Source organism: Homo sapiens, chromosome 5 (genome assembly GCF_000001405.40).
Source record: "Homo sapiens chromosome 5, GRCh38.p14 Primary Assembly".
NCBI lineage: Eukaryota > Metazoa > Chordata > Mammalia > Primates > Hominidae > Homo > Homo sapiens.
In genome coordinates this window covers 171,750,153-171,770,677 of record NC_000005.10, presented here as the reverse complement: position 1 = coordinate 171,770,677, position 20,525 = coordinate 171,750,153, and the positions used below count along the sequence as shown (strand labels likewise).

Here is a 20,525-nt window from a genome sequence, read left to right as displayed (position 1 = left end):
TAATAAAAATAAATAAATAAATAAATAAAAGGGGATATTAGCAAAGGGCACTTATAGGGCCTTAGGGAATGGAGATTTGAGGGCGCACTGCTGGGCACTGTGGGCACAGACATAGATGACCCAATTTGACTTCAAGGAGCTCACAGTCTGCAGACTGTAGGCAGACTGTCACACTATAGTATAAGTGTTATGGCAGATACCAGGGAACATGGAGGAGGGCCCCAGCCTGAGGTCTACGGAGGGGGCCCCCAAAGAGGGCCTCTGAAGGAGTTAAATCTTAATGAAATGCGCTAGTAAGAAAGGCATGGGGAGGGTGTTACAGGCCAGCCTGGGGAATAGCTTATGCGATGTCAGGGAGCCCTCATGGGGCATTTGAGGAACTGCAAATAGTTTAGACTGGCTGCAGGAGGGCAGTGGTGGAAGACAAAGTCACAGAGGGCAGGAGGGGTCTGATCATGCTGGAGCCTGGACGTCCAGTTAGGCAGCTGGGGTTTTATGCAGGAAGGCTGTGGGGATGGCTTTGGAGTTATATGAAAGCAAGCACAGAGGAGAGAGCTCTGGGTGCACTGGTTAATTAGGCAGCACCCTTGGGAAGGTGAGGTGGATGGATTTGGAGAGAAGGAAGGAAGACGTTTTGCATCATAATCGTGGTTAAGATGTGGAGGGCAGAAAGCATGGGTGTTCAAGTGCGGATGATTTGCTGGGCACTGCTGGTGCTGGAGATGCAGCAATGCAAAAAGACAGAGGAGGTCTCTGCTCCTGAGAAACTGAGTTATTCATTCCAGTCATTGGATCAGAGTATCAGTCATCCTTTGAACCAAGAGAAGTTAACTTTTGAGCCAGACGCAGTGGCTCACGCCTGTAGTCCCAGCACTTTGGGAGGCCGAGGCGGGCAGATCACTTGAGGTCAGGAGTTCAAGACCAGACTGGCCAACATGGTGAAACCCCATCTTTACTAAAAAATACAAAAATTATCTGGGCATGGTGGCACATGCCTGTAATCCCAGCTACTCAGGAGGCTGAGGCAGGAGAATCCCTTGAACCTGGATGGTGGAGGTTGCAGTGTGCCGAGATTGTGGCACTGCACTCCATCCTGGGTAACAGAGCGAGACCCTGTCTCAAAAAAAAAAAAAAAAAAAAAAAAAGTTAACTTTCGAGTGCCTACTGTGCAGCAGACACTTTCTTTTTCTTTTCTTTTTAAAATGTTTTAATTGTAAACTAGAATAAAGATCAAGAAAAAAAATCACACAAAACAAATGCATACCCTCTGAATCATTATTAAGTGGACACCCTTGTAACCATCACCCAGTTCAAGACATAGAACTTTGCCAGCCACCCAGAAGCCCCTCCATGTGCCCTGTCCTGAAATCAAACCTCTCCCTCCTCCCAAAGGGAACCAGTATCCTGACTTTTGGAGTAATCTCTTCCACACTTTTCTTTATGGTTTTATCACCCAAATGTGCAATCCTAGATGCTATACTTTAGTTTTATTCATTTGTTAAAAACATATCTCTTTGAAATATCTTTCATTTATAGGTTCCCCCTATATCTTTTTATTTTTCTTATGATTTTATGTGTTCAAGAACCTGGATTGAGTGACCTGTTTGTTTTTCCACACTTGGGATTTTGCTCTTTTTTGCATTCTCTTGGCGCAGTTGGACATGTTCACCTGTCCCATATATTCCCTGCTAATTGACAGCTGGCAGAGGCTTGATCAGATTCAGTGTGTCAGCAGGACTAGAGGTGGTAGTGTGTACTTATCATCAGGAGGCTTAGAATCTAATTTTTGCTTTTTTTGTGATGTTGGCAGCCATTGCTGCCCAGTACTAGATCTGTTAATTGATTGGGGGTTGTGAAAATGGAGATAACCTAATGCTACCATTTTGTCTTTGTATAGTGGCTAGAATATTTTTTTAAGAAGTTACTTTCCCTGACTTGCTGTTTGATTTCCTGTTTGAAAGTATATAAAGGGAAAGGCAGGATAAATGTTTGTTTCCTTCCTATGATCCACTAAAAGCAACAAATTAGTTTTAAAAATATAATTAAAGGCTGGGTGCGGTGGCTCACGCCTGTAATCCCAGCACTTTGGGAGGCCGAGGCGGGTGGATCACAAGGTCAGGAGATCAAGTCCAGCCAGGCTAACACAGTGAAACCCCGTCTCTACTAAAAATACAAAAAAATTAGCCGGGCGTGGTGGTGGGTGCCTGTAGTCCCAGCTACTCGGGAGGCTGAGACAGGAGAATGGCGTGAACCCAGGAGGTGGAGCTTGCAGTGAGCCGAGATCGCGCCACTGCACTCCAGCCTGGGCGACAGAGTGAGACTCCGCCTCCAAAAAAAAAAAAAATATATATATATAAAATTAAAAACTCACAGATTTAAACATAGTTGATAGGTTTCCAATTCATTGCAACTTTCAACCTTACTGAAGCTCCAATTATTCTATATTTGGCAAGTGGAAGCCACTTCACATTGGCTTCTGGTTCCTTTTGATATAACTTAGTAGCCTTTGATAGCTTTGAAGCTGTCTGGTATGCAAGATATTCCATGCTCATCTAGTATATTTCCAGGTCCAGGCTTGGAATCAGCCATTTCTCCCAGGAGCCCTGTTTCTACTGATAGGATGTGGTGTTTAGAGACCACAATCTGAGTGTTCTTGTTGTTCATTGTGACAGGGCTGCTCATTGTTCCTAGACCTCTTCCCTGAAACAATACGTGTGTACGTGTGTGCATGCAGACACAAATACCTTGTGAGTTTATACTGATATGTCCAATTCAAATTCAGCACTTCAGAGATATTACTTAGGCTTCTCTATGTTATATTTGTATCTGCTTCCACACCGAGAACCCTGGTTCTTAAGGACACAGCAGTTGGTAAAATCTGAATAAACCATAATTACTCATTTGCTTTGTTCCATTTCATACATACAACCATCGCAAAATAACAATATTAAAGTTACCACCATGGATTAAAATTGCTGAAACGGCTCATTTTCTTTCATATAGTAGCTTCACTCTTCTTCATTAAAAAAAGAAAAGAAAAAAAACTGTTGTACTATATCCACATAGTCAGATCAAAGAACCATTCTCTACTATCATCTTTCCCTTTTGACTCTCATTTAGCCTTAGTTCTATGCATAGTTGTCCCTTCTGTCATTTTTGTTGTCTGAAGATCATTCTCTAGTAGATTCCACAAAAGGCTCATGGGAATAATATTTCTTGAGTTGATAACAGTTTGTACCCTTTATATTTGAAGGTTAGTTTTGCTAGATATAAAATCCTTGGCTCACCTTTTCTTTCCTGTGTCTTCTGGTATAAAATGTTGGTGTCAAAAAGTCTGATGACTATCACATTTTCTTTATCTTATAAGTCACATGTTTTTTTATTTCCCCATATGCCTGAAGGGCTTTCTTTTTTCTTTAATGTTCAGTGATTTTACTAGAATATATCTGGTTTTTGTCACGTTGGGTCAATAAAGTCTCAGGTACGTGGTGTCATCATTCAATACATAGTTTCAATTCTTTTTAGTTTAGGAAATTTTTGAATCATGGATTCTAGCATTTGTTCTGTTACTTTAGTTTTCTTCCTCTGGGAATTCTTTTATCCATATGTTGGATCTTCTTGGTCTATGTTCAGTGTTTGCAACTTCCCCTCAAATTATTTTTAGTCTCTTTTTTAACATCTTTATTTTAAAATTATTTCTCTTTTTCATATTGTATTTATCTTAAGGCATTATTTGCTGTGTTGTCTGCACTGTGCTTCTTCCAAGTTTAGTCTTCATTTATAAAATCATTCTTTTCCTTTATTTCTAATTCTGTCTTGAGTTCTGCCATCTCACTTCTGAGGTTTTAAATTTTTGATATATGTGCTTCTATCATTGTCTTAAGGTCTTTTATTTATCTCAAAATAGTATATTAGAATTTTTATTTCTTTTTAAAGGATTTTTCTGGTGTGTTCTTATTAACTGTAGAATTATTTTTCAGTTCTTGAATCTCTTTTTTCTTGCACTAACACTGTACAGCATTTGTCCTTAATGTCTTTAATGTTTATCCTTTTTATGTTAATTTAATTTTCCTGAACTCCTAGAAAGTTAGTTGTTCTTTTATAACTTCTTAGGTTCCTCTTCTGTTATTTTCATGTAAAGTAAAAAATTATAGGATTTTGCTTTTTGAAACTTCTTGGCTATGTTCTCCTCTTTCACTTTACCTGTACTTTTTCAATCCTTTATCTGTTTCCCCTGTCCTATTTAATTTTGATTCTTTTCCCAGAAGTTTCTCCTCAGTGTTGGATCCTGTCCCAGAAAGGAGTTCTGGTGGGTCCATTCTGAGATTGTGTAGGAATGAGACTGCACCAATCTCTCCCTTGCTTACTGGTTCTACTCATCCCTTTTGGAAGTCAGCAAAGGCCCTCCTAGGTTCAGCTGCTGTGGCCAAGTTGGTCTGTCACACTTTCTCATGAATGCCTCTTGGCTATTTTAGGGTCCTCTGGTTCTTGGGGCCATTAGATGCCTTGTTGCTTCCATTACTTTCTCTTTAATGGAAGCCAATAACATGTAGCTCTTATGGCTATTGGTGCTCTGGGGTTTGTGGGCATTCATTTTTACCTAGTTTGTTTTAAAGATTGTACGTGGGTTTGGGGTTTTCTACCTGGTTGCTCTGTTTTTATACGGGGTTTGGGTACATCCAAAGCTATATTTCCATCATCACTGCCCTCAACCTTTTAGAAACCATATCTACCTTATGTGATAAATGCATCATCATACAACAGTCCAATGAAATAGCTATTATTTTCTCTCTTTTGCAGAGGATGTAAGCAAGTCTTCCAAAAGAGGGAAATAATGTATTCCTAAGTGGCAGAGCTATGATTTGAATCTGTGGAACCCTAAAATCGTCTATAGTGTAACAAATTCTTTGACCTTCATTATTCCTGTTTTAAGCCACCCAATAAATATTTAAATGCCTGCTTTGTTCTGGGCACTGTAGAATAAGCAGTGGACTTAAAATAGGAATAATAGTAGTTATAACAAACATATATATGGAACAAAAATGTTCCAGGCTGTGCGCTGAGCACGTTACACACTTTATTCCATTCCATCCTCATTACCACCAGAGCTCTAGATAATTACAGTTGAGCAAACTGGGGTTCAAAGAGGTTAATTAATGTAAAGCAGATTGTGTCACATTATCTTGCTTAATAGTTCACAATGACTCCCTATCATACTAGAAGTCAGATTTAAAATCTTTAATCTACTTTAATCACACTAGAAGTCAGATTTAAAACCTACTTGACCTGGCCCCTGTCTACCTTTCTGACCCTATCCTAGACCACTCTCTTCCCCATCCCCATGCGCCAACCACCCCGACCTTCTTCAAGTTTTTTGGCTGTTCCAAGATCATTCTCATCCCGTTCCAAGATCATTCTCATCCTAGGGCTCTCGTCTCAGCTGTTCCAGCTGCCACATGAGCTGTCCCTGAATGTCAGAAGCATGGTGCCTTCCTGTGGCTTCAGAGAGACCTTTCCCGACCACCCAGCATAAAGTAGCCCTTTACTCATCCTCTTTCACCTCATCCGATATTAATTCTCTGTGTACCATTTAATATTATGTGATGACTTTGTTGTTTATTAATTTACTTACTGTCTCTCTACACTCACCAAATTATAAGCATTATAAGAGCAGAGATTGCCTTATAAGCATTATAAGAGCAGAGATTGGCTTATGAGCATTATAAGAGCAGAGATTGCCTTCTGAAGGCAGAGCCTGAGTCAAGGGTTTAGGTGCAAGTAGATCTGGGAGGTGCTCCCAGAAAGGAGGAGGGAGAGAGCAGGGAGAGTGGAAGCGGGAAAGAGGAAAAGCCAATGCAAGGTGTGCTGCTGAGATTGTGGCTGGAGGCAGCAGGGCCTTGATTCCCCTAGGGTCTCAGAAAAGTGCACGAGATGTCTCCCAGACTTGCCTACATGAAGGATGGGAGGCTGGAGGGTTATCTGCCAGCTTTTGCCCCCATTGATTGAAGGCAGCCCCCAGGAGTGTTAGCCCTACACTTCTGTGCTGCATTTACAGAAGGTTCTAAGAGGCCCCTTTTATGCCAGAAAATTTCTTGGGGCGGGGAGCAGAATGTCCTGCAGTGCACCTGGTAGGTGGGAGGCTGCAAGCCCGAGGTGATCTTGTACGGAAGTGTCTGCTGTGGCTGTGGCTGAAATAAGAGGGCAGAAGCGGGGATGTCACTGCAGGGCCCACACTTGCTGTGCTCTATGAGGACAGCCCAGGCTGGAAAGAGGAGCCGGTGCACTAAGACGCAGTGGAGGCAGACGCTGGGCCTCTGAAGTCTGGTTTTTAACTGCCAGGCTACACAGTGTATGGTCCTTACCGTTCTCAATTTCTCCAATTTGGGCAGAGTAGGGAGAGAGACATGAAAAAATGAAAGGGAGACTGCTGTCCTCAGCTGGAAGATGTGGGAAGAGGAGATGAACTCAGGCTGAATGGAGAAGGTGGGAATGGATCTTGGAATCATGCGACCAGCTACTACTTTACGGAGCACCTACCATTTGTTCAACAAATGCTTTCTCTAGTTTTTACAACTCTAGATTAGAAGTATTTCATTCTGATTTTACAGATACCTGTGGCAGAGGGAGTTAAAGAGGCTTGCCCCGGCCACATGGCTACCAGGAATTTCTGCTCAGGCCTCCCTGACTTCAGGGTTGAGTTGGCCTCCTTGGTACATGGAAGAGCCACAAAGAGGGTTGCGCATGGCCCCAACCTCTCCCCCTATCCTGCTTGGAAATCTGGCTCAAGGGCCATCAGTACTCAAGCTGGGTTGGGCTGGACTGGTTTTCTTGGGTATTCGTGTCTTGGGTATTTCATGATCCTTACTGGAATACCTGTGTTCCCACACCGAAGGGGAGGTCAGCAGTGACTTCCTAGCCACGAGAGGGGTCCAGACAACTCGTGACATTCGTTACCTGTGCAAGTGACATTCGTTACATGTGCAAAAGGCGGGGCCAGGGGCTCACACGATTGAGCCCCAGATTACTTAGTGAGGGAGGAATGGAAGGGTTTCCTTTCTCCTCCTTGCTCTGCTCCCCTGGACCCCAGCAGCTGGTGCAGATTCAGATAAGCATCTGCACTTTGGGAAGCTGATTCCTACTGAATCCAGCCTCTGCACCGTCTGAGGTCCACCCATCCCTAATTTTCATATGAGTTATATTAAAGTGTCTGATGGGAAAGTATGTCTTGGTTTAAAAATAGAATAATACAACAATAAATCAAGAAGAAAAAGCAAACTGAAAAAATGCAGAAAACAGATGAAAAGAAAAGGGAAAAAGTGAACGGTATAAAAATACCCTCCATGCCAGGCACTTCAAATGTGATTTCCTGTGGCCTGCACTTTGAAAAAGCCTCCTGTTATGCCATGTGCCGCCTCTGAAGGCCAACGGGGCAGACCAGAGAGGCGTGTTGAGACTTGGAGGCCAGGGCGACATCTGACCTGCTTCTGCTCCAGACACATACACCGAGGACACGTCAGATGATTTTCCGCTCGGTGGAACTGAGCCCCGTGGGCCTGCCCCACCCACCCCGTGCCCACCCGGCTCTGACACACTTCCTGTTATGGGCGACAGGGCACACAGTGGGGCCGCTCGTTGGGGCCAGGGCGCTGGCTTCCCTGTGGGTTGGTGCAGACGACTTCAAAAGCCGCGTCTGGCACGCGGAGAAATGATTTAAAAGTGAACTTGGGTGTCTCCCAATCCAACCTACTCCAAGTAAGTAGAAAGAAAACATACATTATCTCATGTTAAAGAGCAGGCTTCTTTGAAAGCACTGCCAACTATTTATGAAATCCTAACTTATTGCTGAAAAAAGCCCCCCGACAGTCCTAGCAACCACTGGCAAGGCCAAGAGGACATAAACATGATGCCGGGGTGCCAAATTCCAAATTGGCTAGGACTGCATGACAAATTTGTAATTCTAATCAACCAGAATCTCAAATGTATGCCCCAAGAATATACTGTGTGCATCAGGGATGCACTTGTCTGATATTAAATTATGCCAAAGAAAAGCAAAATAAACATCTTTTCCAACAGGCTGATTTGGGAGGGGCGAGAGGTGGTGGTATGTGAGTGGAAAAAATAACATTTCAATAACAGGAGAGAAAAAAGAACTAATCAAGACATGACTGATGCAGGCTGTGAAATTGTCCAATTCAGATGTTTGATGCTGAGGAGTTTGCTGTGTATCATGGGACTTGGAAGCCTGGTTGGGGTGGAGTGTGGGTGTGGACGGAAAGGGATTCATAGCCCTGGGGGCACCTGACACAGATGGCTTTGAACCTGAGAAGTGTCCCAAGATGGATTGGGCTCATATTTATAAACCACTAAAATGTTTCTGGTTTGCCAGGCAAGAAATTGGCAGCAGGCATCCGCTAAACATGTGTATGTGTGTGTGAACGCTCGCGCGTGTGTGCATGTGTGTGTGTGCACACGTGTGTCCTGGCTGTCAGCTTGAGGCCAGCTGCACTTGATTAGTAATCTCCAGCATGCCCACAAACACGCATGTTTTCTTAAGGGGATGGATGCCCTTAAGAAAATGCAATTTGTTAACGCCGTACTGTGGATCTCAGCTACTTTTGCCATCCTTCTGTGCCTGAGAATGGGATCTTGGGAGGGGTGCCACATGGGGCTGCCTATTGAGTGTGGGCAGAGGGAAGATATGTGCTTAGGACTCTGCCCCTTTGTCACTGCACTGATTCCACTCCAGGGATGAATAAAGGACCCACATGGCCAGCAATTAGAAACTCCCAATTTCAAATCCTGGCTTTGCCTTTGAGGAAAGAAAAAGAAGGGACCAGGCACTGACTGCTGAACTTATACAATTTTTTTTAACCTCTTGGAACCATGCACTGGGGGAGATATTACTTCTGTTCCTTTCTTAATGTCAGGATTAGTAATGATTAAAAACAAATTTGAGATATATCTGTTGTAAGTGCTATAGGCATTATTATTATGAGTATTATTTTTATTGAAGGAAATGAAAACTTCCCATTTCAAGCTATCCTCTGAATTAGCTCCGCCCTGATAACGGAAATGTCTGACATTTGTCATTACCTTGGGTTATGCATTGAAAGTTCATGTTCAAATGCAAATCCTACCAGAGAAGGAGAAACATGTTAAGGCACGTCGTATGTCCCTGCTCATCTAGCAATGGCTCTAAGGCAGAATTCCTAAACTTTTGGGGTCATGGAACCCTTTGTGACTCTGATGTGCCCTCACAAAATGCACATCCCTATGTTCACATGAAATTTACTTGTAATTCCATGGTACTAATGGATCCATTGACATAGAAATCCAGAGATCTTATATTAAGATCTTCTTGGTCTAAAAGTTGGAAACAAACTGGATACATTTTGAAGAATGCCGGGAAGGTCAAGGGCAATAGGCCCAGCCTTGGAGGGCAGATGAATATGCTCATGCATAGAGAGGTGAAGTGACCATCTCAAGGTTATGAAGCCATAAAACGCGGGAGCTAGGACCAGGATCAAGGGCTACTGGACTTATTGCCCTGTGGAGTCCTGGAAGGCACCAAGGAAGCCTGGGTTCAATACTCCACTCTGCCACTTCTGTGTGACCTTGTGCAAGTAATTTAACTTCCTTGGGCATGTCCTCTAATCTTCAGCTTCTTTATCTATAGCCATGACATAACCACATACTCAGGCTACTCATCTGTTAATGGAGATACTAATATTTACCTTAAGAATTCTATATGATTTTGACTATTGGTAATATATGTGAAGCATTTCATAAATGATAAAGCTCCATATAAATTCCTAGCATTATTGCTATTGATGCTGAAGGACAGGTGCTAGGGTCTAAATATTTGTGTCCCCCATACATTCATAGGTTGAAATCAAATCCCCAGTGTATTGGTGTTAAGAGGTGGGGCCTTTGGGAGATGACTAGGTCATAGGGGTGGAGGCCCTGTGGATGGGATTAGTGCCCTCCTGAAAGAGACCTGAGGAACCTTGTTTGCCCTTCTGCCACATGAGGATGCAGCAAGAAGGTGCTATCTATGAAGCAGAGAGCAGGCCCTCACCAGACATTGAATCTGTCAATGCCTTAATTTTGGATTTCCAAGCCTCCAGAACCATGAGCAATGCATTTCTGTTGTTTATGTCATCCAGCCTAAGATAATTTGGCAACTTGAATATGGCAACTTGAATAGACTAAGGTAACAGGGAACCTAAATATATGGCAACTTTTGTAATGGAAATTTAATATTGAAAAATTAGGACACTGTAGTCTAAACTATTCTAGTTCAAATCTGGACAAAATATACAGGAAAATTATGGTGCAATTTCTGCCATGGGTGCTGTGATGACTGATCTGAACAGTGAAGGACTGTGAGTATATTAGTTAGGAATCTTTCTATCATGATGAAAATCCACCTCAAAATGGCCTAAGCCAAAAAAGGGAATTTATTGGCTCACATGTTTGTTTCTTTAGTTTATTATTTCACTTTGTCTTCAATCATATGGTCTTGTTTCTTGGCATATCTAGTAATTTTTGATTAAACACTAGACATGGTATCAAAACATTGTAGAATCTCTAGATAATATTATCTTCTTCCAGAGAAAAATTCTTTCACTCTTTCCTATGCTAGGCAGATAGAGTGGGGGCTGATCACCTTAATCTAATGAAACTGAGGTGAGTCAAGGCTAGGTTACAGTTTTAGTAAGGTTCCATCTAACTGTTTGTTTCTAGTCCTCCAGGACTGCCAGTTGAGAGACTGATGTGTTCACTGGAACTTCCTTCCCCTAGTAAGGCCTAAAATTCCAATCCTTGTCTCTCTAGCACTGTGAGATTGCCGAAAACTCTATCCTGCTTTTAAAGGGCTTTCTGTTTAGCTTCAGAATTCAAAAGCTCTGTTGGTTTCTCTGTCCCCAAACAGAGTAAACTCTGCCCAGGAAAAGTCTGGATTCTCATTCTCTCTCTCTCTTTTTTTTTTTTTTTGCATGCCAAATCAACAAACTTTTTCCCCAAGGAGAAAGTAGCTTCACAATGCCAAATCACTTTTTTACACTTCCTACTCTCTGACTCTTGTCTCCTCTAGTTCTGGTTGTTTCAGCAGATTTCCAATACTTTTAAACAGGTTAAAAAGGAAAAAAGGGTTTTTGTCTGGCTTTTTCAGCTTTTCTCAGAGGGAGTATAGCAAAAGTCTCTGGATTATGTATCTTAAAAGCCTAAGGATAGATTTGGAACTACAGAAACAGCTGAATCCAGATGACCAGTGATATTGTTAGGCATTTTTTTTCTTTCTTTCAGCTCCATTTTACTCTGTATAGGCTTCTCAAACAGCATTTCTGCTGATGTTGCAGAGAAGGTCTCTAGAAACTCCAGACTTATAGTAGATTAACAATCCTGGTAGAAAGAGAAGTCCTCTTTCTCAATAGTCTCAATAATTGGCCTAGTTTGGGTCATGTGTCCATCCTGATTCAATCACTATGGCAGGAGAATAAAATATGATATCTTTTAAGGCCTTGTCACATACCTACTATGAAGTCCAGGTGTGATCAGCTTCAAATGATCCGCCTAACTAAACATGAGGGCAGAGTGGCTCTCTTGGAAAAAAAAAAAGGAGGTGTTATTTTTCCAGAGGGAAGGGGAATGGATGCTGGCCAGTCTACAGATATCCTCCACGGTGAATGTTGTGCAAATGAAGGCAAGACTGAGGTGTGGAAAGCATTCATCTGCCTCTTCACCCCAGCTCCTGTCATCATTCTCAGAGATCCCTTTTCCATTTAAACAACTCATCCAAACACCTCAAAATTCCTGGGCCTTTGTAACTCTCATAACTTTCATAACATTACCTCCACTCCATTTCAACCTCACTCCCTGCACTTGGTCACAAGCTGAAAATGCTCATGTCTCATCCTCTGGCCCCCCACACTTCATGCGTGCTCTGTGCCCCCTGAGACTCCTAGGTCCTTGACCTTTCCATTTGTTAGCTACACATCACCCACCTGGCAAGCCCCCAGCCCTGTGATGATGCCACTCTCTACCTTTTCAAGTCCTCAAGTGGCTTGAAGCTAGAACTCATGCAGCTGTGAAGACTGGTGCCATCATGAAAACACTGCAGTTTCTAAAGTAGCTTTGTCTTTTGTCTTGGTTTCTTTTTTGTCTTGTTTTTATTTAATCTTCCATATACTTCAAAGATGCATTCAAACCTTCACCATCTCCTTCACAGCAGCCCGTGGAGGCCATTAGGGGAAATCTTTCACAACTTCCTATTTTTTAATCCATACACTTTTTGCACCTGCACTAGAGAGGGCCTCCATAGGTTTTGCTTGCTCAGTATACATGTCCCTTTCTTCCGGTAATAGTGACTCAGTTTTCCTTTGGGAAAACACTTGCTCTACTCAATTTGTCTGTTTTGAATGGGAGTGATCATATCCTTTGAATTTGGGTGTTCAATAAAAAGAGTCAATCTCCCTGGCCAGAATGACTGTGTTTTGAATAGATACAGGGCCAAAGAGTGTCCAATGAGAAACTACCTCAGGAATGATTCAGAGTGAGAAGTTTACATTCTGCTGGGATGACTAAGCTAGGAGGGTAAAGTTTGTGCATTAATCACGAGTATGCTTATACCATGAGGATAGGTCCTACATGAGACTGGAGCCATCACAACTCTAAGAGATGAAAAAAAAAGAAAGAGAGGGAGCCAATGATGTCATCTGAATCCCTAGATCAAGCTATTCCTGAAGGTGCTGCTTCTGTACTTTTTAGTTAAAGGGGCCAGGAAATTCCCTTTTTCTGCCTAAGTCAGTTTAAACTCGGTTTCTCTTACTACTAACCAAAAATGTCCTGATCAATGTGCACACATACCCTTATCTTCTTTATTCAGTACCAGGAAACAATACATCCAGTCTTTTTCAGATTAACCTCTCCATCAGTGCTGTTCATTTATTCAACAAATATTTCTTGAGAGCCTGCCTTCAGTCAGACATTGTTCCTGACACTGGGGAATACAGTAGGAAACTAGATGAGATCTTTCCTTCATGGAGTTTATTGTCCAGTGGGAAAGAAGAAGAAAATGAAAAAGATTAAAAATATAAAATTCGAGCTGTGATAAATGCTATGATTGGTGCTAAGATGGAGAATGGCTGGGTGGTGGAGGAGGAGGAGTGGGAACACTTTAGTCATCTTTTTAAAAATTGCTGGTTTAATTTTTCTGTGGTCAGAGGACATACTCTTATGATTATATTCCTCTCATATTTGTTGAGACTTTTAAAATGCTTGTTTTATATTCCGTGTGCACTTACGTGTATTCTGAAGTTGTTGTGTATAGTGTTCAAGAAATGTTAATTAGGTCAGTTTTGTTGATAGCATTTTTAAAAGTCTGTTGTATCCTAATTGATTTTTGTCCACTTCTTATATCAGTTACCCGGCGATGTGTTAAAATCTTGGCTTATGGGTAGATTTGTCTATTTCTGCTTTTATTTGTTTATTTATTTTTAAAATAAGAAACAAGGTCTTTCTCTGTCACCCAGGCTGGAGTGCAGTGCTGCGATTATAAATCATCGTAGCCTCAAACTCTTGGGTTCAAGTGATCCGCCTGCCTCAGTCTCCCGAGTAGTTGGGACTATAGGCATGAGCCACCACGCTCGGCTACTGTTCTTTTAAACTTTTTTTTGTGTGTTTTTTGCAGTCTACTTTTGCTATACATATATATTCTGAAACTGTATTATTAAGTGCACACAAATTTTTTTTTTGTCTTCTTCTTGTTGAATGGATCCTTCCATCATCATGAAATGTTCCTCTGTATCTCTAAGTCCTACTTTCTGGTGGAAATTCGCTTTGGTGGTATATTACTACATTAGTGTAACCACACATTTTTAAATGTTAGTGTTTGTATAATGTGTATCTAATAGCTGCAAATAACTGGTTTTACAGTGATTATTGAGACCCAAAGTATTCCACGTAAACAAACCATGTCTTAAAAGTTTGTTAATTAGCCCTTTCTAATTAGCTGCACTCCAGTTGCCACAGGCTTGCCTTTACTATTCACTCCAAGGATCCAGGTACATTTCATTGTCCAGCAATAAATATTTATTAATTACGAGACAGATATTTCAGAAATTATCAGAGAATCTTAGAATTAAAAAGAGTTTGGAAAAAAACAAAAAGATGAACTCCCAAGGAAGATATATAGTCAGATAAAGAGAATTAGTTCTAGAGGAGGAGAGCCTTGGGGAAACTTCTTGGAGGATATTTGTTTAGGGATGGGAGCTTGAGGATTCACTATGTCAATAGGTGAGGTTAACAGAGATAACAATTTTCATCGAGTAGAAGCTTGAATAAAGAAACAGAAGCAAGGACACAAATAAAAAGTCCATTTTAATGGAAGGTTGAGACAATCAAGATGAGGCTAGAAAGATAGGTCAGCCCTGTGGTGAAGAGGCAAGAATATAAACTTCAGGAAGCTCCATGATGTACGAATTCACTAAGACTCACTAGAGATACTTGAGCACAAAAGAGCCATTATTAAAACTGCTGGAGTTTCGTCTTATTGGTGTGTAATGTTTGGATTAAGAAAAGCCAGTTAGGAAGGTGAGGGGAGATGAGGGTCAGTACTCTGGGGACAGAAGTTCGATGGAGAGGGTAGAGGATAGCCCCAAATAAGAAAGAAAAGCAGCAGATATTAAGCTTTGATTGATAGGCCACATTAACTGAGAGATGTGGTGTGTGGGGATGAATAATACATATTTGTGTGTGAATAGGCATATTTCTGAAATATTTTTGTTGTAGTTAAAAATATATAACATAAAATTTTCCATTTTAATGGTTTTCAAGTGTACAGTTCAATGGTATTGATTACATTCACGATGTTGTGCAACCATCACCATGATTTATTTTCAAAACTTTCCATCACCCCAAACAGAAACTATGTAACCATTATGCAACAACGTCTCACTCCCTGGGGGCATAGAGTCCACTTGTTACAAGTGGACACAATTGCACTCAACAAAAAAGAGGGAAAGGAAACTTCCCAGAAGCCCCCAGCTGCTCCTCCTCTGGTCTCATTGGCCAGGATTGGTCACACATCTGTGCTCCAGCTGCAAGGGAGGCTGGGAAAGCAGGTGACTGGCATTTTCAGCCTCTTTATAGGGATATGTGCTCTGCCAGAAACGACGAAGGGAAGGGGAATGTGGTTGGGAAGAGGGCCCAGTATGAAGAGCATTGAGGCCTGGCAGGCATGAGTGCTCAGCCTGCTCTGGGCATCAGTTTCACGTTACCCAGAGGGAGAGACTAGAGAGAGTTTCTTAATCCAGGGAAGCTCCCTAAGTAAGAGGGTGGTTAGGTGAGTGCCTAACTGCAACGTGACAGAAACTATGAAAAAAAAGATGCACACAGCTTTATCTTCCTTTTTTCAGCATCAGGAGACAGTACATCTCTGTTCCTATTTAAAATTAGCCTCTTGGCTGGGTGTGCCTCATGCCTGTAATCCCAGTATTTTGGGAGGCTGGGGTGGGTGGATCACTTGAGGTCAGGAGTTTGAGACCAGCCTGGCCAACATGGTAAAACACCATTTTTACTAAAAATACAGAAGTTATCTGGGCATGGTAGTGCATGCCTGTAATCTCAGCTACTAGTGAGGCTGAGGCAAGAGAATCACTTGAACCCAGGAGGTGGAGGTTGCAGTGAGCTAAGATCATACCACTGCCCTCTAGCCTGGGCAACAGAGCAAGACTCTGTCTCAAAAATAAATAAAAAAAAAAATAAAATAAAATTAGCCCCTCTACCTGTGCTAGTGATTAATTAAGTCATTCTTTTATTCCACAACATCTCTTGAGGGCTCATCGTGTATCAAGAATCATTTATAATTAGTATCATCATTACATTCTGTCCTATTCATGGTCCAGCACAGTGCCTTGTACATAGTAAGCCCTTAATAAATGTTTGTAGGTTTGAACTGATTTACTGTAGGATGTACTAGTTACATCTATCAAGTTTTGGCTCTCTGTAAGATTAAAGCCAGACACATTTTAAAAAATCTTTTTATTTAGGTGCGTCTTACATACAGTAAAGCATATGGATCTTAAGTGGCTCAATGGTCTTTTAATGTATACCCTGGGTAACCAATACCCAGGTCAAGACATAGAATTTGTCCCGTACCCTAGAAGACTTCCTCATGCCTTGACACATTTTTGAGCATATATACATGAATAAACAGATTTTACAATTTTATTATATGTTTTCTTTTATAAACAACCATTAATGTCCCAGAATAAAAAAGGGAGGTGCACAAGAAAGGTCAAGCACAAAGCTGAACTAAGGACATAAAAATCTTCAATGCTAGTTGACAGTTGGTATTAAATTGTTTGACTGTTCAGAATCAGGAATCTTCTACTTAACTGAAGAGATGTGACCCAGGAAATTCTGCTGTCAGGTGAATTTCTGTAAAAAATAATCTTTTCCCATCAATTCCTACCATAAAATTGGAAACATTCTCTGGGGATCCAAATACTGGCCTCTGGCTGTAGACTTACATGTAAAAAAAAAAAAAAAAAAAGCGATTCTCTGATAAAACTTCACCAATAACACTCAAAATGTTAATTAAACTCACAAAACTCAGAATTCTCTGCAGAATTCCAAAGGAATTTCAAAATCATAGCCCTGGGAGTGAAAATGCAGTAAGGAATCTTTGGTAATGTCATGGCCTCATGTCATAACCTTCTTGCAGCAGAATAATTCCATGAGCTAAGAATTCTGGGGGCTTGGCTTTACGGGTAGTGGGTAGTGGGTGGTGGGTTCTTGGTACTAGTAGTGTGACTGACGTCAGTTTGCTTTTCTGAACCACAACTAATTCCTCTCCAGTTTTAAGATACAAATATAAAACTCCTCTCTATTTGACAAGGTTTTTTTTTTATTATTATACTTTAAGTTCCAGGGTACATGTGCACAATGTGCAGGTTTGTTTACATTTACATTAGGTATATCTCCCAGTGCTATCCCTCCCCCCTCCCTCTACCCCACGACAGGCCCCGGTGTGTGATGTTCCCCCTCCTGTGTCCAAGTATTCTCATTGTTCAATTCCCACCTATGAGTGAGAACATGCAGTGTTTGGTTTTTTGTCCTTGTGATAGTTTGCTGAGAATGATGGTTTTCAGCTTCATCCATGTCCCTACAAAGGACATGAACTCATCCTTTTTTATGGCTGCATAGTATCCCATGGTGTATATGTGCCACATTTTCTTTTTTTTTTTGAAGTTATGCAATCAGATTCATTTATTATTATTGACATATGTCTATCCTGCTGAATTTACCCTTTTACTATTATGAAATATTTCTCTAGTCTTTTATAATACATGTTTTTTAAAACCTGCTTTGTCTAATATTAATATACCTATTCCAACACTTTTTGCGGTGGGGATTGTATGCTTAATTTTGTGAGTTCTTTTACTTTCTTTTTATTATTATTATTATTATGCTTTCCAGTCTATCATTGATGGACATTTGGGTTAGTTCCAAGTCTTTGCTATTGTGAATAGTGCCGCAATAAACATACGTGTGCATGTGTCTTTATAGCAGCATGATTTGTAATCCTTTGGGTATATACCCAGTAATGGGATGGCTGGGTCAAATGGTATTTCTAGTTCTAGATCCTTGAGGAATTGCCACACTTGACAAGGCTTTTTTGAGAGTAAAGTGAGGTAATACTTAATGGGTTTTCTTGTTCATTTCTTTTGTTAATTATACACTTGAATAATATCTATTAAGAATCTTCTATGTACCCAGTACTGTGCCAGAGTATAAAGTGATGAACAAGATGGTCATGTTTTCTGCTCTTGTGGAGTTTACAATCAATTGTAGAATAGAGACATCATACAATTGTGCACAGAGCTCCATGTGAAATATGATATGGAAAGGTAGGCAGTCAATCAAAAAAAAACTTTGTTACAATAAGAAATTATAAGAACAATACCTATATGACTTTTACACAGTTTATTTTTACTGAAAATATTCACATATACATTCAGTCACCAATAGTGTGATGTAGGAAAGAGTCTTTTGTGGCGTCTGACTTTGCAGAATAAAGTTCTGTATCTTTTTTCTTTAAAGTGAAACAAAATATGTATGAATTAATACAAGTGCATAATCTTTCTAGAATTTTGTGGCTCTTGTTGCCAGTTGTTTGGAGTTTTCTCCTCACCTCCATCCAACAGATATGTTTTCTGAGACTTGCCTTTATTGATTCTTTCCAAAGTGGTCAACTTAGAAACAGCAATGTTTCTTTAATGCTCTTATTTCATTCGTTGGCATAATATTTAATTAAGTTATGTAATGACAGTACTGAATACATCTGCCATAAATGATTTAGACAGCAAATGCAATGGTCTCTTGGTCAGTAAACAACTCACATGGTGAGAGTGGAAGTTTTTGGGGTTGCTGAAGGATACCTCTATGGGACATAATGCATTTGTCTGCAAGGAACAGAATCTTTAACTGAAACAAGTTTTAAGCTTTGCTTTCAAAAAACTCTCAGTGCATAGTAAAAAAACGCATTTTAAATTGTCCCTTAGCACATATGCAAGAGTATAAACTGAAGCAAATTTTCACAAGCAGCACTTACCTTTACTTTATGTGATGCTACCTAATATTTTTGTCTATTCTTTCCTATTTTAATTCTATTAGAAATGCTAATCATGACCCACTAATATAATCTCATGTCTCATTAATGGAGTGCAACCCACAGTGTGAAAAACACCAGCTTAACCCAATAGGACATTTATTATTTTATGTAGGAAGATGTCTAGAGACGGAGAAGCCCTTGAGATGCTGCAGTAGCTCAGCAGCCTCCTCAAGGTCACAGGTATTTTCCATAGACTTCTTTCTGCGATCTTCTGAGAATTAGGAGTGTCTCCGCTCATGGTGCAAAATGGCTTCCACATCTAGCAGTTGTTACAAGTGGACACAATTTCACCCAACAAAAAAGAGGGAAAGGAAACTTTTCCCAGAAGCCCCCAGCTGCTCCTCCTCTGGTCTCATTGGCCAGGATTGGTCACACGTCTGTGTTCCAGCTGCGAGGGAGGCTGGGAAAGCAGGTGACTGGCATTTTCAGCCTCTTTATAGGGATATGTGCTCTGCCAGAAAAGACGAAGGGAAGGGGAATGTGGTTGGGAAGGGGGCCCAGTATGAAGAGCACTGAGGCTCGGCAGGCATGAGTGCTCAGCCTGCTCTGGGCATCAGTTTCACGTTACCCAGAGGGAGAGACTAGAGAGAGTTTCTTAATGCAGGGAAACTCCCTAAGTAGAAGGTGGTTAGGTGAGTGCCTAATTGCAATGTGTCAAAAGCTACGAAAAAAAGAAAAAAAAGATGCACAGCTGTTATTGGTTCATATTGCAGGGCACTTACCTGGGCCAGGGAACTGGGGAGGCCTCTTCAGGGAAGCGACTCTCTTAAGCCAGTAAGGGGAGACGGACCATGGTGGTGGGTGGTGGGAATGGTGTTCCAGGCAGAGGGAAGAGCTCACGAGAAAGCTAAGAGGAAGGAGGGATCATGGCTGAGGTGGCATATTTATTCTACTAGTTGTCCATCTCCTGTGGGCCCAGCCCTGTACTAGGCATCAATGGCTAAGAGAGTAATGGGACATCTCCTGCCCTTGGGAATGTCATCGTCCATTAGGAAGGGTGATGTATGAACAGTCGTAACTAGAAACCAAGGGGAACGTATGCCTTCAAAATGCTATGTTATCTCTTAGTGGAGGGGACTCAGGGGCCTTCCTTGGCGGCACCTAATAGGTAGGATCCGCATGTGTAGAATTAGCAGGGGTCACGCCTTCCAGTGGAAGGGCCTGCTGTGAGCAAAGGCCTGGAGGCAGGAAGGCAGAACCAGGGGTCAGCCACTTGGCTGGAGGGCTGGGCGCCTGAAGGGGAACCAGAGGGGGTAGGGCAGGGAAGGTTAGGAGGTGGCTCCAGCCAGCATTGTCCCAGCTTCCTGCATTTAACCCCAGCCATCTGCAGCCCCAACCTTGGCTAACCCTCCTGGCAGTGAGTGTGACACTGGGCCCTAGGAGACAGAAGGAATGACTCAGGCTTTGTTCTTGTTTAGCGTATTTTTTTGCCCAAAGCAGAGTGACTCCCAGGGAGAGGCCCTTGCCTGGCCCTTCTTCTTGGCACCAGCGAAGGCGCTTGCCTCTCCAGTCTCTTTGGAGAAGGACCAGTCTCTGAATGGTCAGAGTCACTGGGTCTCGTGTCTCCCAGGATCTGCTGGGAGGGCTGCCAAGGTGGCACAGGCCCTGCTAGGAGGACCTCTAGTGGCGGTGAGGCTGGGGGCTGGGACATCCATGTTCCCTGCCTGGAGGGGATGCCCAGGCCTGAAAGTCATGGGTGATGGCCCAGGCGGAACACTCAGGGCCCGAGAGAGGGGATGATGGGAGTGCTGGTGGGCAAACCTTTGTGGCGGTCTCTGGGAGGCCTAGGAGGGGCCACCAGGAAGTGAGTTGAACAGTTTCACCTTTATGTGAGGTTTCTCAACTGCTG

At 41.9% G+C, this 20,525-nt stretch overlaps 1 annotated feature.

Moving 5' to 3' along the window:
- Window positions 19,602-20,101: an enhancer, noted in NCBI's record as "H3K4me1 hESC enhancer chr5:171177581-171178080 (GRCh37/hg19 assembly coordinates)". NCBI's record gives its function as "activates a minimal SCP1, AML or CMV promoter by ChIP-STARR-seq in naive H9 embryonic stem cells {active_cell/tissue: H9 hESC(naive)}" and the evidence as "EXISTENCE:reporter gene assay evidence [ECO:0000049][PMID:30033119]".